Source organism: Homo sapiens, chromosome 6, assembly GCF_000001405.40.
Source record: "Homo sapiens chromosome 6, GRCh38.p14 Primary Assembly".
Classification (NCBI taxonomy): Eukaryota; Metazoa; Chordata; class Mammalia; order Primates; family Hominidae; genus Homo; species Homo sapiens.
This window is the reverse complement of record NC_000006.12, coordinates 77,816,069-77,833,097: the sequence shown is the minus strand read 5'-3', so window position 1 is coordinate 77,833,097 and position 17,029 is coordinate 77,816,069. Positions and strand designations below refer to the sequence as shown.

Below are 17,029 nucleotides of genomic sequence, written 5' to 3'. Positions count from 1 at the left end.
CAATAAAGGGGGAAATCCAAAATACATGTATGACAAGATATTTAGGAAACTTTTATCTTCAACATTGCATAAGTAATTTCAACAAGACCCATTCAAATGAACACAGCTAGAGAAAGGATACTAGGATAAGAGTTCACAAAACCACCTTTCAAAAATCTGATTCAATGGTCACAGAATATACATAAAAAATATGTTAAACTTGACACAAATATCTACTTTACTTACCCTGCTAAAAAGTAGGTGAGACAACACACATACCAGTTGCATGAGACAAATTAATATAAAATGGTGTTAGTGAAATACAAATAACTGACATGGTTAGTCAATAACAGAAATTATTCCATACTTTATCTTCTAGATTATAGAGTCAGACTTTGTGGGTTCAACAGACTGGTGCTGTACTTCCTATGACTATGGGCAGGCTATTTAAACTCTCTAATCCTAATCGCCCTCTTTTGTAAAATGGGAATAATATGAATTACTAGTGTAGTTAGGAGAATTAAATGACATAACATAAAATTAAAATTAATCGCTATTTATTTCAAACAAAAATATATGCAAAATATTTGATGGACTATGAAATGTTTGGAATAATGTTTGACACATAAGGCTTCTCAGTAAATATTTATGATAATAATTATTATTGAATCCTCCATTAATCTTTATTAAACAGATCTATCCTCTGCCATCAAATACCTTAGAAATTAAATCAGACTTATATAGAGTACAATATGACATACATATATATACATACACAATCATTTTCTGAATTAGTGACTACTTAGAAAAGTTTATATCATTAAAAATAAAACTATTTTTCAGACAGTTCTTGGTGAGATCTTAGCATTCTTTATATCGACAGAGAAATAAAGTCTTTAAAGTGAGCTAAAACACTGAGTATAAAAGCACTGAGAAAAATTATATTTACTTTAGGTTGGAAAATCTGTTAGGATTTCAAAAACTATATTTTAGTTGAGGAACAGTCTACACATAGTAGAATGCACAGAATTTAAATGGATATTTTGATGCATTTTTAATTGATACGTCAGAGTTGTACATATACTGGGGATAAATGGGATATTTTCATACATGTATACAATGCGTAATTATCAAATCAGGGTTATTGGGATATCTATCATTGCAAACATTTATCTTTTCTTTATGTTGGAAACATTACAATTCTTCACTTCTAGCTATTTTGAAATATAAAAAATGTTATAATTTCTACAATTTAGTTATAATTAACTATATCTAAAATTCACTAACTGTACTATTGAATACTAGAACTTTTTCCTTCTATCTAACCGTATTTTCGTACTCATTAACCAACTTCTCTTCCCTTCCCTGCCTCTGGTAACCGTGATTTACTCTCTGCCTCAATATGATCCATGTCTTTAGCTCCCACCACAAATGAGTGAGAACATACAGTATTTGTTTTTCTATGCTTGGCCTATTTCACTTAACATAATCACCTACAGTTCCATCCATGCTCTGCAAATGATGAGATTTCATTCTTTTTATGGTTTAATAATATTCCATTATATATAGAGAGAGAGGAATATTATTATTTGGTATATATATATATATATAAAATTATCTTTATTCATTCATTTAGTGATGGACACTTAGGTTGATTTCATATCTCGGCTACTGTGAGCATGTGAGTGCCGGTATCTCTCCTTTCTTTTGGATACATAGCCAGCAGTGGGATTCTTGGATCATATGGTAGTTCTATTTTTAGATTTTTGAGGAATGTCCACACTGTTTTCCATAATGGTTATACTACTTTACATTCCTACCAACAGTCTATGAGCATTTGCCTTTCTCCAAATCCTCACTAACATTTGTTACTATTTGTCTTTTTAATTCTAGTTGGAGTGAGATGATATCTCATTGTGGTTTTGATTTGCACTTCCCTGATGATTAGTATTGTTGAGCTTTTTTTTTTTTTTCATATGCCTGCTAGCCATTTGTATGTCTTTTTTTGAGAAATGTCTATCAGGTATTTTGGCCATTTTTAATTCAGATTGTTTGTTTTCTTGGTATTGAGTTGTTTGAGTTCTTTATATATTCTGGTAATTAATCCTTTGTCAGATAGCTAGTTTGCAAATATTTTCTTCCATTTTGTGGGTTGTCTCTTCACTTGGCTAATTGTTTCCTTTGCTGTGCAGAAGCATTTTGCCTTGATATATTCTCATTTGTCTATTTTTGCTTTTATTGTTTGTGTTTTTAAGGTCTTACCCAAAAAAATCTTTGTCCAGGCCAATGTCCTACAGCACTTCCCAGTGTTTTCTTCTAGTAGTTGCATAGTTTCAGATCTTACATTTAAGACTTTAATCCATTTTAATTTGATTTTTGTATACGATAAAAAATGAAATATAGTTTTGTTCTTTTGCATATGGATATCCAGTTTTCCTGGCACCAATTATTAAATACTGCCCTTTGGCCAATGCAAAACTCCTTAGCAAAATACAAGCAAACAGAATTCAACAACATAAACCTGCCTGACACTAGTTATTGTTATTGTGTTATTGCTATTTTTCTTATTATTATTTTAAAGTATCTTAACTGTCAGAACATCTGGGTTTGAATTATGGCTTTAGGATATGCTCTTTCTGCAGTCTTGGTCAAGCTACTTCACCACTCTAATGTTTTGTATTCTTATCCATAAAGTTTGTGAAAATTATAACCGCTTCATGGAGCTATTGCGAATATTAAATGAGAACATATACATCATTTTTTCTGCACTTACTGACATCCTCCAAACAATCGAATTCAATTAAACTCACTTTCCACATTGCTTCCTATTGTTAAACTCTAAGACTTCACCTTGTTTCCCCAGACTCTTCAGCATCTCTTGTTAAATAACAGCCTAATGCCTCTACATTCAGTTACCCTCTGCTCATTCAATTCAAATGCATTTTTCAAGTACTTCCTTTTCTGTAAATTATTTTCAGGGACTTGCAATCTACCATGGCCTATTCCTTGATCTTGGAACTCCTATGAAAACATCATACATTTTAACACTTTGCTCCTTTTCAATTAGTAAATATAGCTTACTTTTTACTCCTTGATAACAGTGAAAATGAGTTTTTAAAAAAAATCTAACAGCTCTTAAGAGAGTTTGTCATTTTGTAGTCATTTGAAAATTTGCTGACTAGATACAACATGTCAAACATCAAATTCAATTAGATTGCATAATATTTTTAGACTATGTCATTAGATGTCAGTACTTTGTTAAAAGCCATTTAAATTACATACATATACAATATTTTATTAAAGTTCTTTCTCTTTACCAAGACATTTCTACCTATCTCTAATTTCCTTTAATTGTGACTTTGACTACAGAAATGATAAGAATATTTAATGAGCTGTCAAATGGAATACATGTAATAAACCAGTGTCAACATTAAAATATGGGAATGACTTATGTTCCTTCTACACCTTTGTCACCAGTGATATAGAAGACTTTCCACAGATAAAAGGGCTTAGAGCAGTGGTCTTCAAGCTTGGTTGCATACTGAAATCACCTGAAGTGCTCTAATAATACCAGTACCAGAATTCCAAATTCAGAGACCTCTATGTAATAATAGGATTGGCATATGACTTGGCAACAGGATATTTAAAAGCTAGCCAGATGATTTTCATGAGCAATACAGAATGAAAAATACTGGTTAAGGACTACTCTCCATTTAGAATCCTCTCCAGTTCACTTTTCTCTCATTTTGCTTTAGAAACATGCTGCCTGCCTGGAGGGATTTAAAGCTGTTCATCTAAGCACTCTTTTGCTGTCACCAATGGCATCTTTGGCACATATATGCAAGTAAGCATTATAAAGTGGTTTTACTTTCAAAACTGTTTTCTGAAAGTATCTTTCTGTAATTTTGGTAGGCAGTAATATTACTCACATATATTAGACATAAGGTAATAACTAAAACATCAGCCTGGAAAGAAGAGAAGAAAGAAGGGAAAAGAAAGAAAAACATATAGTTACAATAACTATATATGAGAACTACAGTTTCAAGTTATGTGTACCTGATTGATGGCTCCCAGATCATCAGCAAAGCCATTTACTTCTGATAGAAGCAGAGATATAATAGATTTTCTCAACAAGCTGCAATTTCCCAAGGTAACCAGACTCTGAGAGACATAATGCTGCACCTGAAACTAAAGATAAAAATGAGTAGGTTTCTATATTCCATCACGTCAAATCAAAATGTATTTTCTAAGACCTTACTACTGAGCTAAATGCTGTGAGGAATATAAAAAGTATCAATGTAATTCTGGGTCAGTCTCAAGAACAACCATAAAATACACAAATTATAATATTCTAGGCTCTAAGATTTTCTATAGCAGTTAATATTTTGAAACATGAAACAGGGTGCTAAAATGGAAGTTTTAGTTGAAATAGCAAAAGATAATAGTTTAGATAATAGGCTATATACAGAATGAATAAAGGAGATGATAAATCAAGATACTTAAGCTCTTACCTTTTAGATAGATTAGCCAGATAGATGATAGATAGGTCATCTATCATTCTTTTTGGCACCAGGGACCAGTTTTGTGGAAGACAATTTTTCCATGGAAGGGGGGCAGGGTGGATCATTTTGAGATGAAACTGTTCCACGTCAGATCATCACTCATAAGATTATCACAAGAAGTGTGCAACCTAGATCCCTTGCATGCACAGTTCACAATAGGGTTTGCACTCCTATGAGAATCTAATGCCACAACTGATCTGACAGGAGGGGAAGCTCAGGAGGTAATGCTAGCTCCCCTGCTGCTCACTTCCTGCTGTGTGGCCTGGTTTCTAACAGGCCATGGACCAGTACTGGTCCATGGCCTGGTGGCTAGGGACCCCTGAATTACAGAGTTGAAGAGAAATATCTATTAAGTTAGATTGTGAAAATGCTTACTGAGGGACCCCTGAATTATAGAGTTGAAGAGAAATATCTGTTAAGTTAGATTGTGAAAATGCTTACTGTAGTGATAGGCACCTAGTAAGTGCTCAATAAGTGAAATGTTATAATTTAGGATGACAACACAAAAGCATTCACAGCTATATAACAGGAATTTAGTTCACTGAACCTTGAAAAGTTAAATACTATAAATAAAATATATTTTTCTAGAGTTAATATAATCCTATTGGAGAACACTGATGAGAAGAGAATTTCATCATAAAGAGCTCTTCCATAGTATAGCTATGAACTGTTTCTCCCCGACATGACTGAAGTTCATACAAAGACAATATAACCATTAATGTGGTTCAAAATTATATGAATATTATTAAAATAATCTCTATTCTTCCTTACATTTTAATTGACACTTGCCCTTTTGTAAATACAGTGGAATTTTTTTGAAAGGCTGACATGGAAACCAAGACTGACAACAATATTATATGTGAGGCTACTGTGGTCCAAACCATGGGAGGACACACTCAACACACATGATAATCTTTTTCTTTCACATCTTCCTGTATTTAAGAAGCTGGAGAACTAGAAGTAATTCTTCCCAGATTACTCTGCAGTTAGGATTTTGGATGTGAGTTCTGCCAATCAAAAGTACTCATTTGAGCCCTTGATTTAGAAATGCATCACCAAGGAAAAGAAGTAGGTACAGGGCATGCATTTTGTTGCTACAGATAGCAGCTGAGGTGTCAGAGTGCTGGCTCATCCCACAGCTGTTTCAGAGTTACCTAATTATGTAGGTTCTTTTTTTTTTTTTTTTTTTTTTTTTTAAGATGGAGTCTCCCTCTGTCACCCAGGCTGGAGTGCAGTGGCGGGATCTCCACTCACTGCAAGCTCTGCCTTCCGGGTTCACACCATTCTCCTGCCTCAGCCTCCCAATGTAGCTGGGACTACAGGCACCCGCCACCACACCCAGCTAATTTTTTGTATTTTTAGTAGAGACAGGGTTTCACCGTGTTAGCCAGGATGGTCTTGATCTCCTAACCTCGTGATCTGCCCGCCTTGGCCTCCCAAAGTGCTGGGATTACAGGTGTGAGCCACCGCGCCCGGCCTATGTAGGTTCTTTTAATCACAATAGAAGTAGCAGCTACCTTGGTTGCCCAGTGGTTTGGGGAATGATTCCTGTAAATGTAGCATTCCCAAAGGTATTTTGACCTATATGTTTACCTAGAGGATTCACAAAGCTTAGTGCCACATTAGTCTTGAAATATGAAGGAAATGGGTAGAAATTCTTATCACTTTCCCAATTAATTTTCCTATATTAACTGTGCAGAAGATAGGAGGAACTTGGAGAAGAGCCGTGAATTATTGTAAAGTTAATTAGGTAGTGTTTCCAATTACACAGTGCTGTTGTTCCAGAAGTAGTTATTTTCTGAAAGGATCAACACTGCCCCTGACACTTATTAGGTAGAGCCCTGGATTCTGCAGAAGTTTGTGGGTCTAATGCATGTAGGAATACTCCCTCTAAAGTGAAAAACAAGTTGCTATAGTATGTATTTACTATCACTAAGAAAACGACACAATGCTTGATAGGCCTTTGTGAATTCTGGAGACAACATATTACCATTTGGTTTACCACTTGGAAGCATATTTCAAGTAATCATAAGGCTGTACACTTTGAGAAGGGGCCAGAGTAGTATATAAAGATCTCCAGCTGATCTAAGTTGGGAAATAAGAAGTTCTGTCCTTTAGATATCATGATTAGTAAGATCCAATGTGCTTGCAGTTGATCAGAATATTATATGGAGTCTGTAGCCTACTCTAATTAGAAAATCACAAAGGAGGGACCCTGGGTGTAGAACAAAGTCATATCTTTCTTGTCAACTAAACATTATTCTCTCTAGAAAATAAAAATTTACATATGTTATTTAGCCCTGCCATAAACTGTGCCTGCCTGATTGTAGGACACCAAGTAAGTGTATATCCAGAACTACTCATTTGAAAGAGGTGCTATATAAATTTAGGTATACACAACAATACTCCATCAAGTAGCCTTAGTATAAACAAAACTGGGATCAAGTGAAAACTAAAAGCAGAAGTGAGTGTTGTTTGATCACTCAGTACTTATAGTTCCAACTGGTAGACCTCCTCTTATAAGGTTGAGGTACTGTTCAATGGTAGGGAATTTATATTCCCAGCCAATGGCCAATATATGATGCTCTTTCTCCCACATGAGTTTCAGGATGGATGAATAAACTGCATGCACAGAGTATAGATTGTAACTGAAGACACTCCTCTAACAGCATACCACAGCACTTAACCCTACTATAATGTTTTTTAAATAATTTGAACAAAAGCTTAAAAATCAAATTTTAGATTATGCAATAGCCAGAGAGACAGATACTGTGAGTAGATCAAGATGATTCAAATAAACTCTCTAAGCTGTAACAATGAGTCCCAAATAAGTAAAATGCAATAGAGACATATATATGTTGTATCTACTTAAATTCCTATAACCTGTTGAAAACAAGAATCAGAATTATAGATATTTAAAACATTTGCTACCTGCTAAGCACTTATCCCGATTTAAGCTAAAGATAATTAATATCCAGAAGAATCCAAAAGCCACAAGAAGGGACGGTGGGCACCTTCATAAAGGTCCTTGTGTTTCCTAAAAAAATGTCTCCTGTGGGCTTGGAGATGGGGCAGCCAGTGATTTCTGTTAGACTGTGACTTGGGAAATGACTTGTTCACACTAATGTGATTCTTTTGAGAATCTGGAAAGCTCTGGGGCCCTCCCTAACAACCTTTAATAACAGCCATCTGTCAGTATGTAGAGCAAATTGTGCCTATTTATGACCAGCTTCTCAAAGGCAACTGCTTAATAAACGGAATTTCACTTCCTTATCATTGGGGAGTGGATGACATTTGAATAGATGTCAAAAATAAATAATAAGAAGAACATAATATTTTGTTAGGTCAAAAGAATGTGGGAGGCTGTAGAAACCATATGCCTTCTGATTTTATAAAAATCATTTTTATCCTTGAGTCACTGACATTTGTTTAAAGATGTATACACATTTCTAATATCAGATACATCAAATTATAAGAATATAATGAAAAAATATGAGTGCCACAAGCTCACAACTGAATTCTGTAAAATAAAATTTAACAAAAAAAGTTGAGATCAGAGGTACCTAATTATCACTGAACAAGTGAACAAGTGATAGAGATTGGTTATATGGAAGGACTGTCTATGGATGCATGTTAGAATGAAGAACGATTCTTTTTCTATGATACCTATTTGTATAGCCCTACTAATGAAGGAAATAAACTTAAACCAACTAATTATGTCTATTGGAACAATGTGAACTAAGAATTTAGGCAAAAGAGTTGGATACTACATCAAATATCCCAATAACAATGATAATAACATTCCCTTTCTTTTCTTAATGTGAAGAAACTGAGAATCAGGAACATTAAAGTCACTTGTAAGGGGTAGAGTCCAAAGTCAGACCTAGATCTTTTTTTTTTTTAACTTGAATGTCTAATATATTTGGTGCTTATAAAGTAAAACATAAAGAACTTACAGGATAAAACAGCAAGAAATGAGAATATAATAATATCAATATAAGACAATTTATTAAGCATTTACTTTGCATTATGTACAGTACTTACTGCTTACATATACTGTATCATTTAATCCTAACCATGAGACCATAAGAAAGTTTAATCTCAAACTAAATACTAGGGACCCATACTTTAAAGAGAGTAAGTTAACTTGTTCAAAGTTAGATTAAAAATATACATAAGAATATATGTAGTGACTTTGGGAGGCCAGGCAGATGGATCACCTGAGGTCAGGAGTTCGAGACCAGCCTGGCCAACATGTTGAACTAAAACACAAAATACATCTCTACTAAAAATACAAAAATTAGCTGGGGATGGTGGCACGCGCCTGTAATCCCAGCTACTTGGGAGGCCAAGGCAGGAGAATCGCTTGAACCCAGGAGGTGGAGGTTGCAGTGAGTCGAGCTCATTCCACTTCACTCCAGCCTGTGCAACAGTGCAAAACTCCATCAAAAAAAATGTAGTGACTTGTGCTGTTTATCAACCCATTGCATACCCAAATGTATCATATCTGAATTTCTCTTAAGGCATAGAAATTTTGATAGTCCATAGGGGATCCATAAAAAGTGTTCAACCACTTGCCAGATTTAAAAAATTACTAATTACTACTCTGAATTAAGGAAACATAACTATTACACTGCACCATCAACCTCTGTAACAGGCCAGCACTGTAAGCAAGCTGGACAGTAGGATAAAGAGACACAGAGACCCAGGGACAGATGGTATCACGCATAAATGTTGATGGCTGATGCAGTAATGCCACTAATGTGTTTCCTACTTTCTGAAGCATCCAGAATTATGTCTCAACCTCTTTATTTTCCTATTATTCTATAATAAAAATGTATTGTCTAAACCAAGAAATAACTCTCTGCTTAAAGCAAGAATAAAACAAACCAACCAACCTTAGATGTTATTTGTGGGAAGTTTGGAAAATAAGAAAGTACAAAAACTCTCTTCTCAGAAATGCTATAAGCATGCCTATAAAACTTTAGAAATAACCAAAACATCTAGCAGTATCAACCATAGCTATTAACGTATATCTGGCTTCTCACAGTAGAGATGACACAATAGGCAAGCAATTAATGGCTGAAATATCCAGAGAAATGACCACTGGAACTAACTCACATCTTAACTAAACAAGAATGAGAGACGCTGCTATCCCACTGTCCCTCTAAGAACAGAGCAGCTCCAATCTGTGATGTAGAACAAAAGCTATTTTAAAAAATTCTTAAAATTTCAGTGTACTTAGAGTGAAGGTAAATGCTTCAATCTCAATTGAAAGTCAAAAGAAACAACATTCAAAGGCTCTCACTCACATAGAAAATATATATATACTATAAAAATACATAGTTTAGAGTAAGTTTCTGCTGTAATTAATTACATAAAATGTTGTTTTAAAAATAATTAAATGTGTTAAGATTCCCTGTAAGGGAGGAGATTATTCCTGAAGATGCCATAATTCTAAAGAATAGGACAAAACAAAATTGAAGCTATAATAGTTGAAATTAGTTATGTATTCATTCATTCATTACAGCAAATATTGAATGTCATCTATGTGCCAGTGACTCAGCTAGTCCCTATTATCACTTAGAATTCAATAAAAAATAAAATAACATTATTTTTGCTTCAGTAGTTACTTCTGCTTATGTTAGGGCTCACACCTGTAATCCCAGCACTTTGGGAGGCCAAGGCAGGCAGATCATGAGGTCAGGAGATCAAGACCATCCTGGCTAACAAGGCGAAACCCCATTTCTACTAAAAATACAAAAAAAAAATAGCCAGGAGTGGTGGTGGGTGCCTGTATTCCCAGCTACTCGGGAGGCTGAGACAGGAGAATAGCTTGAACCCAGGAGGCAGAGGTTGCAGTGAGCCGAGATCCTGCCACTGGACTCTAGCCTGGGTGACATAGTGAGACTCTGTCTCAAGAAAAAAAAAAAGGGGGGGGGGGTATCCAAATGCAATCCAGCTTATCATGATCTGAAAGGATACTTTTAAAAATGTTAAAAACATTTAACTCTCATACAAATTTAGAATTAACACGTCAATGTATTTATAGCATCAATGAGGGTAAAAAGCATTTGAGGAACTGAATCTTGAATTTGAAAAAAAGTAGAATTAGACCATTACGTTAGACACAAAACTGGTTAATATTTTACATGATAAACCCTTACCATAACCTCAGGACTTATTTTCTACTGTACAGGAATCATTTATATCTATATTATAGAGGGATCTATAGGTTAATATGAAACTTCACAGGGTCAGGGCCCTGCCAAATCACATTCCCCTAGAAATTTAAGTAATAATTAGGTTGTCCTGTTAGATGAAGCCCCAGTATGTCACTGACTGGACAATCAACCAACCTTTGCCTTATTTCCAGAATTTGATAGTATATCTTAACACGAAATAAATCAGCAAATTTTAATGTAATGCAGAATTCGTAAGAAAGAAAGAGAGGTCCTCAATGGTCAAAAGAAAAAGAAAAATATAAACAGATATAACATTAAATCAGACAATAAACTTTCAGAAAAAGAATAAGCTGGGGTTGCTCTGCTGGCAAAAAGCATCACCAGCACAAAATTTTCAAATAAGACTTTGGCCTTTATTAAGTAGGAGAGAGACTAACATTTCTAAGATGAAGCCTAAATTAGTGAAATGTAGAGACTGGTAAAGATCTAATGTGCCAGCACAAATCACCCCCAATAATTAATAATAATAATACCAGTAAGCAGCACGATTTTTTTTTTTTTTTTTTTTTTTTGGAGAGATGGCATTTCACTCTTGTTGCCCAGGCTGGAGTGCAATGGCGCGATCTCAGCTCACCACAACCTCTGCTTTCTGGGATTCAAGCGATTCTCCTGCCTCGGCCTCCTGAGTAGCTGGAAGTACAGGCATGTGCCACCATGCCTGGCTAATTTTGTATTTTTAGTAGAGACAGGGTTTCTCCATGTTGGTCAGGCAGGTCTTGAACTCCTGACCTCAGGTGATCCACCTGTCTCGGCCTCCCAAAGTGCTGGGATTACAGGCGTGAGCCACCATGCCCGGCCAGTAGCACTATTAATAGTCATCTTTAAGAATCTGCAAATCCAGCCATATCTACATTGGGTCTGCCACAAGGAAACCGCATGCTGAGAGATGAAGCTACTTTTTTTTTCTGGCAACTGCAAGATGCAAATACAAAACCACTCTTGAGGAAAACACTCTTAGTTCAGTTTTTCAGAATTCTTATAGACTAAGTTCAGACAAATATGGGTTAATAATAAAAGTTGACCAAGTAAACTTGAAATCTGTTAAATAATAAAAAATTTTTAAAAATTGGACCTTCAAAGACTTCAGACATTAATTACACTTATCTGATACGGAATATAGAATAACTATAAATGGAATGACAGGAAGTCTTTGAGAAAAATAAAAATACCAAAAAAGAAAGAAAAACATTAAAATTTAAAACTCAGTGAATGAAATAATAAACAAATTAGTTACAAGTAAAGAGAAAGGCAATAAACTGGAAAATGTACATAGAGAAATCATCCATAATATAGGAAAGAGAAATGATGTGCATGCAATATACGAGTAGAGGTTAAGAGACATAGAGAATAGAATAAGAAGCTATAGTATCTTTAAATAGAATTCAAAAAAAGAAAAAGAAAAAAACTAAGAGAGACTACTGGAGAAGAAACGACATGGGAAAAAATAATGGAAGAAAGTTTTTTAGGCCTAAGAAACAACAAGAATTCACAGAGGAAAGAAGTATAATGTATACTAACAGAAGAGAACAATTAGACTGACAACATAATTAATAGCAACAATAAAAGCCATACATCTTTGATCTAGTATCTTCAAACTACTGTCACAAAATATGTATTAGCTTATAATTGTGTACCCACTAGAACTATCCTTCAAGAACAAAGAGAAAATAAGACGTTTTCAATGTATGAATATGAGTCATTTTAACACTGATAGAACCATACTAAAGGGATTTAAAAAAGAAAACCGGCCGGGCACAGTGGCTCATGACTGTAATCCCAGCAATTTGGGAGGCCTAGGCAGGCGAATTGCCTGAGGTCAGGGGTTCCAGACCAGCCTGGGCAACACGGTGAAACCCTGTCTCTACTAAAATACACAAAATTAGCCAGGGGGGCATGGTGGCGTGTGCCTGTAGTCCCAGCTACTCAGGAGGCTGAGGCAGGAGAACTGCTTGAACCCGAGCGGTGGAAGCTGCAGCAGTGAGCCAAAGTGAGCCAAGATCGCGCTATTGCCCTCCAGCCTGGGCAACAGAGTGAGACTCCATCTCCAAAAACAAAAACAAAAACAAAAAAAAACCAGTCCCAGGAGTCTCTTTGTGTTTGATATTCTGAAGAGGTCTGTTTCCCTTTTCTTATGTCTATTTATTTTAAAGTTTTAAAATACTTACTTTTATATTTCAGTTTCGTTTCTATCAAAACAACTCATATCCTGATACTGACACTGCCAAGTACACAGTGATAGAAGGAAAACCATTCAGAAAAAAATAAGATTTAGGTCCTCAGAAAGCTTATAATAAAAAGCAAACTCATAGTTAATCAGCAAATGAAAAAATAAATGAAGAAAAGAAAAAAAAGCAGGTACACGTAAAAGTAAGATATTGTAAAAGCTAAAAGTTCTTGAAGAAGAAAACAGAAATGGATCAGAACCAATTCCTCAAAGCTGCTCCAAGTAAAGGACTCTTCCTTGGAACCAACAAAAGATCAGATAGAGGACATAGAAGGAATTCTTTAGGTTCCAAATAAAACTGACATACTAAATCCAACACTAAGATATATATCTAGGTGATATTAAATCACAAATAAAAAGAAAGGCCTTTATTACTTCCTAAGAAATTAGCTATTGGGCCTCTTTAATAAAGGAAAGGTATCTGCCAAATTCCAGTCCTAAAGTATTTTCTACATCATAGATTAATGTTTTCATTGGGTGAAAGAAAGGACAGGGTGAAGAAAACTTTGGGTGAAAAGAAAGAGCTTAGGGTATCACTTAGGGATGTTAGTTATAACATCCTAATCAGATTAAAGTAAATTAGGGATATTTTTTAAATCCTAGGAATATTCCCCTAAAATAATACCAAATATCATTAGGTTTCTGGTCCAATAATGATTTCTCTAAGTTTTGAGCACTAAAATGAATAAAACAAAATATTATCTCTATAAAAATGTTAAACTAGTAGCACAAATAGTAACTAAAGTGAAAAAAATCATTCAGAAAAAAATCCATAAACTATGACAAAAAAGAGTTAATGGTGCTAGTCAGAAAATATTTAAATCAGTTAAAACAATATTGAGTTCAATATAGATTAATCACAAAACATATGAATAAGTAATTGACATAGAAATGGTAAATACACATATAAAAGTTCTCTACCCCAAAATAACCAAATTAAAATTAACATATCACTTTATACCTATTCAATTAGAACATAATATTGAAATAATGTAAAAGAATAAAAGTACGGTATGTCTACATTTAAATTTTATTTTCTTATAAAAGCTAAATATCAGGCTGGGTGTGGTGGCCTACACCTATAATCCCGGAACTTTGGGAAGCCAAGAGGATTACTTGAAGCTAGGTTCAAGACCAGCCAGGGCAACATAGTGAGACCCTATACCTACAAAACATACAAATAAAAAAAAAATAGTTGGGTGTGATGGTGCACACCTATGGTCTCAGTTACTCGGTGACTGAGGCTTGAAGATTGTTTGAGCCCAGGAGTTCCAAGCTGCAGTAAGTGAGCTATGATTGTGCCACTGCACATCAGCCTAGGTGACAGAGCAAGACCCTGTCACTATTAAAAACAAAATACCTAAATATCCAACAATGTAACAATGTACGAATAGGTAAAATTAGGTTAAATCTACTAAATAAATATCACAAATCACAACATTAAAATTATATAATAACACAGAATACTTACAATATAATATAGAAAAAAATGTGAACTATGATGGTACAAGAAAAGCAAGTGGTGGTTTTAAAATAGGTTTAAAAATTTGTGTATATTTACAAAGACCAGGAAAAGAAACTTTTAAAGTTTCCAGAGAAGCAAGATTGTGAAAATCAATTCAATTTAATTTTAGACTTCTACTGGTGTTGATGTTTCTGTTTTAAAAAACTAGAAAAGGCAAATTTCAGAAATCAATTGGACTGATATAAATATAGATCATATACCATTATACTTCTAATGGGACACACTTTTTTTACCTTATAAAAAGATATGCAAAATAGGGCTTCTATTTTGAAAGATTCTCTACTACTTTTCAGATATAATCTAAAACAAAATTAGATATAAAATAATTTTCCAGAGATGTTCATTTTAAACACTGATTGTCAAATAAAAACTTACAGTAATTACCAAAACAGGCTAGGCAGCAATGTAAGTTTTTCAGACTAATAGTGTAGATGATAACAACAACAAAAACAAAACAAAAAAATGCAGAAAACACAAAACTAGCTCTAATTTAATGCCACATTGAAAAACTGTTCAATGGTTTGTTTTATAGATTCTAATTGGTAGGTTTGCATACACTGGCTAAAATCTCTGCAGTATATGAGCGATGCAGCTCAAGTTGCTGCCAAAAAAACAAATAATGGACAGTGAGCAGAAAGAAGTAAGACACTGCCTAAGTGAGTGACACAAGGACTGGGAGATGTTGGATGTAAAATATGAGAGGCCACAGGAAATATGAAATCTCTCGCCTCATGTTGCCTAACACCTGGGCCCTAAAAGCCACTTTGCTTTCATTACTCAGTCCTATATATGGAAGAAAAGAAAGAGTATAGAAAAGTAAAATAAACACTAGAACAAGATTTTTTAAATGATATTTTATAAAAAAATTATAACATCACATTTTATCCCATAAATATATGCAATTATAATTTTTAATATATAGTAAAAATAAAAAATACAAATTGAGAGTAGGATTAGAGAAATAATAATAGGTTTTAAAGTCTATAAAGGCTAAATTAATTATCACTTTGTGGCACATGGCAAACTTCATTTGAGATGACACAGATTTATGGGGAATGAAAAAGGCACAAAGTTCAGAGACGACCCAACTAATCATCAATGATAATCAGAACTTAGGTCAGCAAAAGTTTAAACATAAAGATCTCCCTAAGACTCACTATCAGGCAACAAAGGTCACCCTGGATATTACAGATGAAATCCAGATGATCCTGAACTCAAGGATGCTCCTCGCAACTCAAGAAACTTCACCATCCCTATCCTCACAGTACCATGCATGCTTGTGAAACAGCAAGTATGCACGTACTGTGAAGAACAAGTTCAACCAAGTTTCTGCTTTCCAGGGACTTATTTGAACCTAACCTATAAAGTAGAAAAAAATTCTGCCCTTAATACCTATTATATATTCTCTTTTTGCAGCACCTCAGAGATACCAAGAATAATATGTGTATAATAAGAATATAATTGAGCTACAGGTAAAATGCTGACAAGTGTGAATATTTAGGGAAGTAAAAACAAAAACAACACACACACACACACACATACACACACACACAATAGTGTCATCCAACAATGAATGCAGGCAGAATTACAGCTTCATTCAATAATATGACTGGATCTTAACAGATACATGTCTTAACAGATACAACATTGCGCAAAGCCCTGCAAGTTACTAAAGAATATTTATATTGCAATTCAATTTACAAAAAGTTCAAAAAAAGACAAAGCTGAATTATGTTCTTTAGAAACACATACATAGGTAATATTACTACTTTAAAAAGCAAAAGTAGTAACATACAAGTCAGGCATTCAGTATGTTCAACAATGGGTTTTCCAATAAGGAAGTCAGTGTGGCGATTCCTCAGGGATCTAGAACGAGAAATACCATTTGACCCAGCCATCCCATTACTGGGTATATACCCAAAGGATTATAAATCATGCTGCTATAAAGACACATGCACACCTATGTTTATTGCGGCACTATTCACAATAGCAAAGACTTGGAACCACCCCAAATGTCCATCAATGATAGACTGGATTAAGAAAATGTGGCACATATACACTGTGGAATACTATGCGGCCATAAAAAAGGATGAAATGTATTTTAAAAATAAAAGTAAAGTTTCAACATGACTAAATCCCAGTCCTCCTACTAATTTATATTGATTAACTTGATCAACTTTTTAAAAAGAACTATGCCCGTGTACTATCGATTAAATTAATATAAGGACCTCCTTCTTACTGATGACACACTTTGACAGGTAAGTAGTTTTAAAAAACAATGAAATATACTAATGATGTTTTAAATAGCAAATCATAATCAACTATGCTAAAATTAAAATTATAATTTGAGTAGACAGTATCTAGAATACAAACATATCATAGGCAATTACCTCACAAAAAGACAGCTGATTAAGTAACCCAGAGGTACATTTTATAGTGCTTTCCTTCTGGACAGCTCATAAGGATAGAGATTTCCTGAATATTAAATGTTAAA

At 34.3% G+C, this 17,029-nt stretch overlaps 1 protein-coding gene across 4 annotated transcripts in view; it reads right to left on the bottom strand.

The window, feature by feature from the left end:
* MEI4 (meiotic double-stranded break formation protein 4) overlaps window positions 1–17,029 on the bottom strand; it is a 276,772-nt gene that overhangs the window by 93,948 nt on the left and 165,795 nt on the right. For 3 of the 4 annotated variants that reach the window (NM_001282136.3, NM_001322247.2, XM_005248774.5), the window contains one exon: window positions 4,036–4,167. In NM_001282136.3, coding sequence (NP_001269065.1) covers window positions 4,036–4,167 — 132 coding nt within the window. The remainder of the gene's footprint in view (window positions 1–4,035; window positions 4,168–17,029) is intronic. The other variant, XM_017010155.2, reaches the window with a different exon arrangement.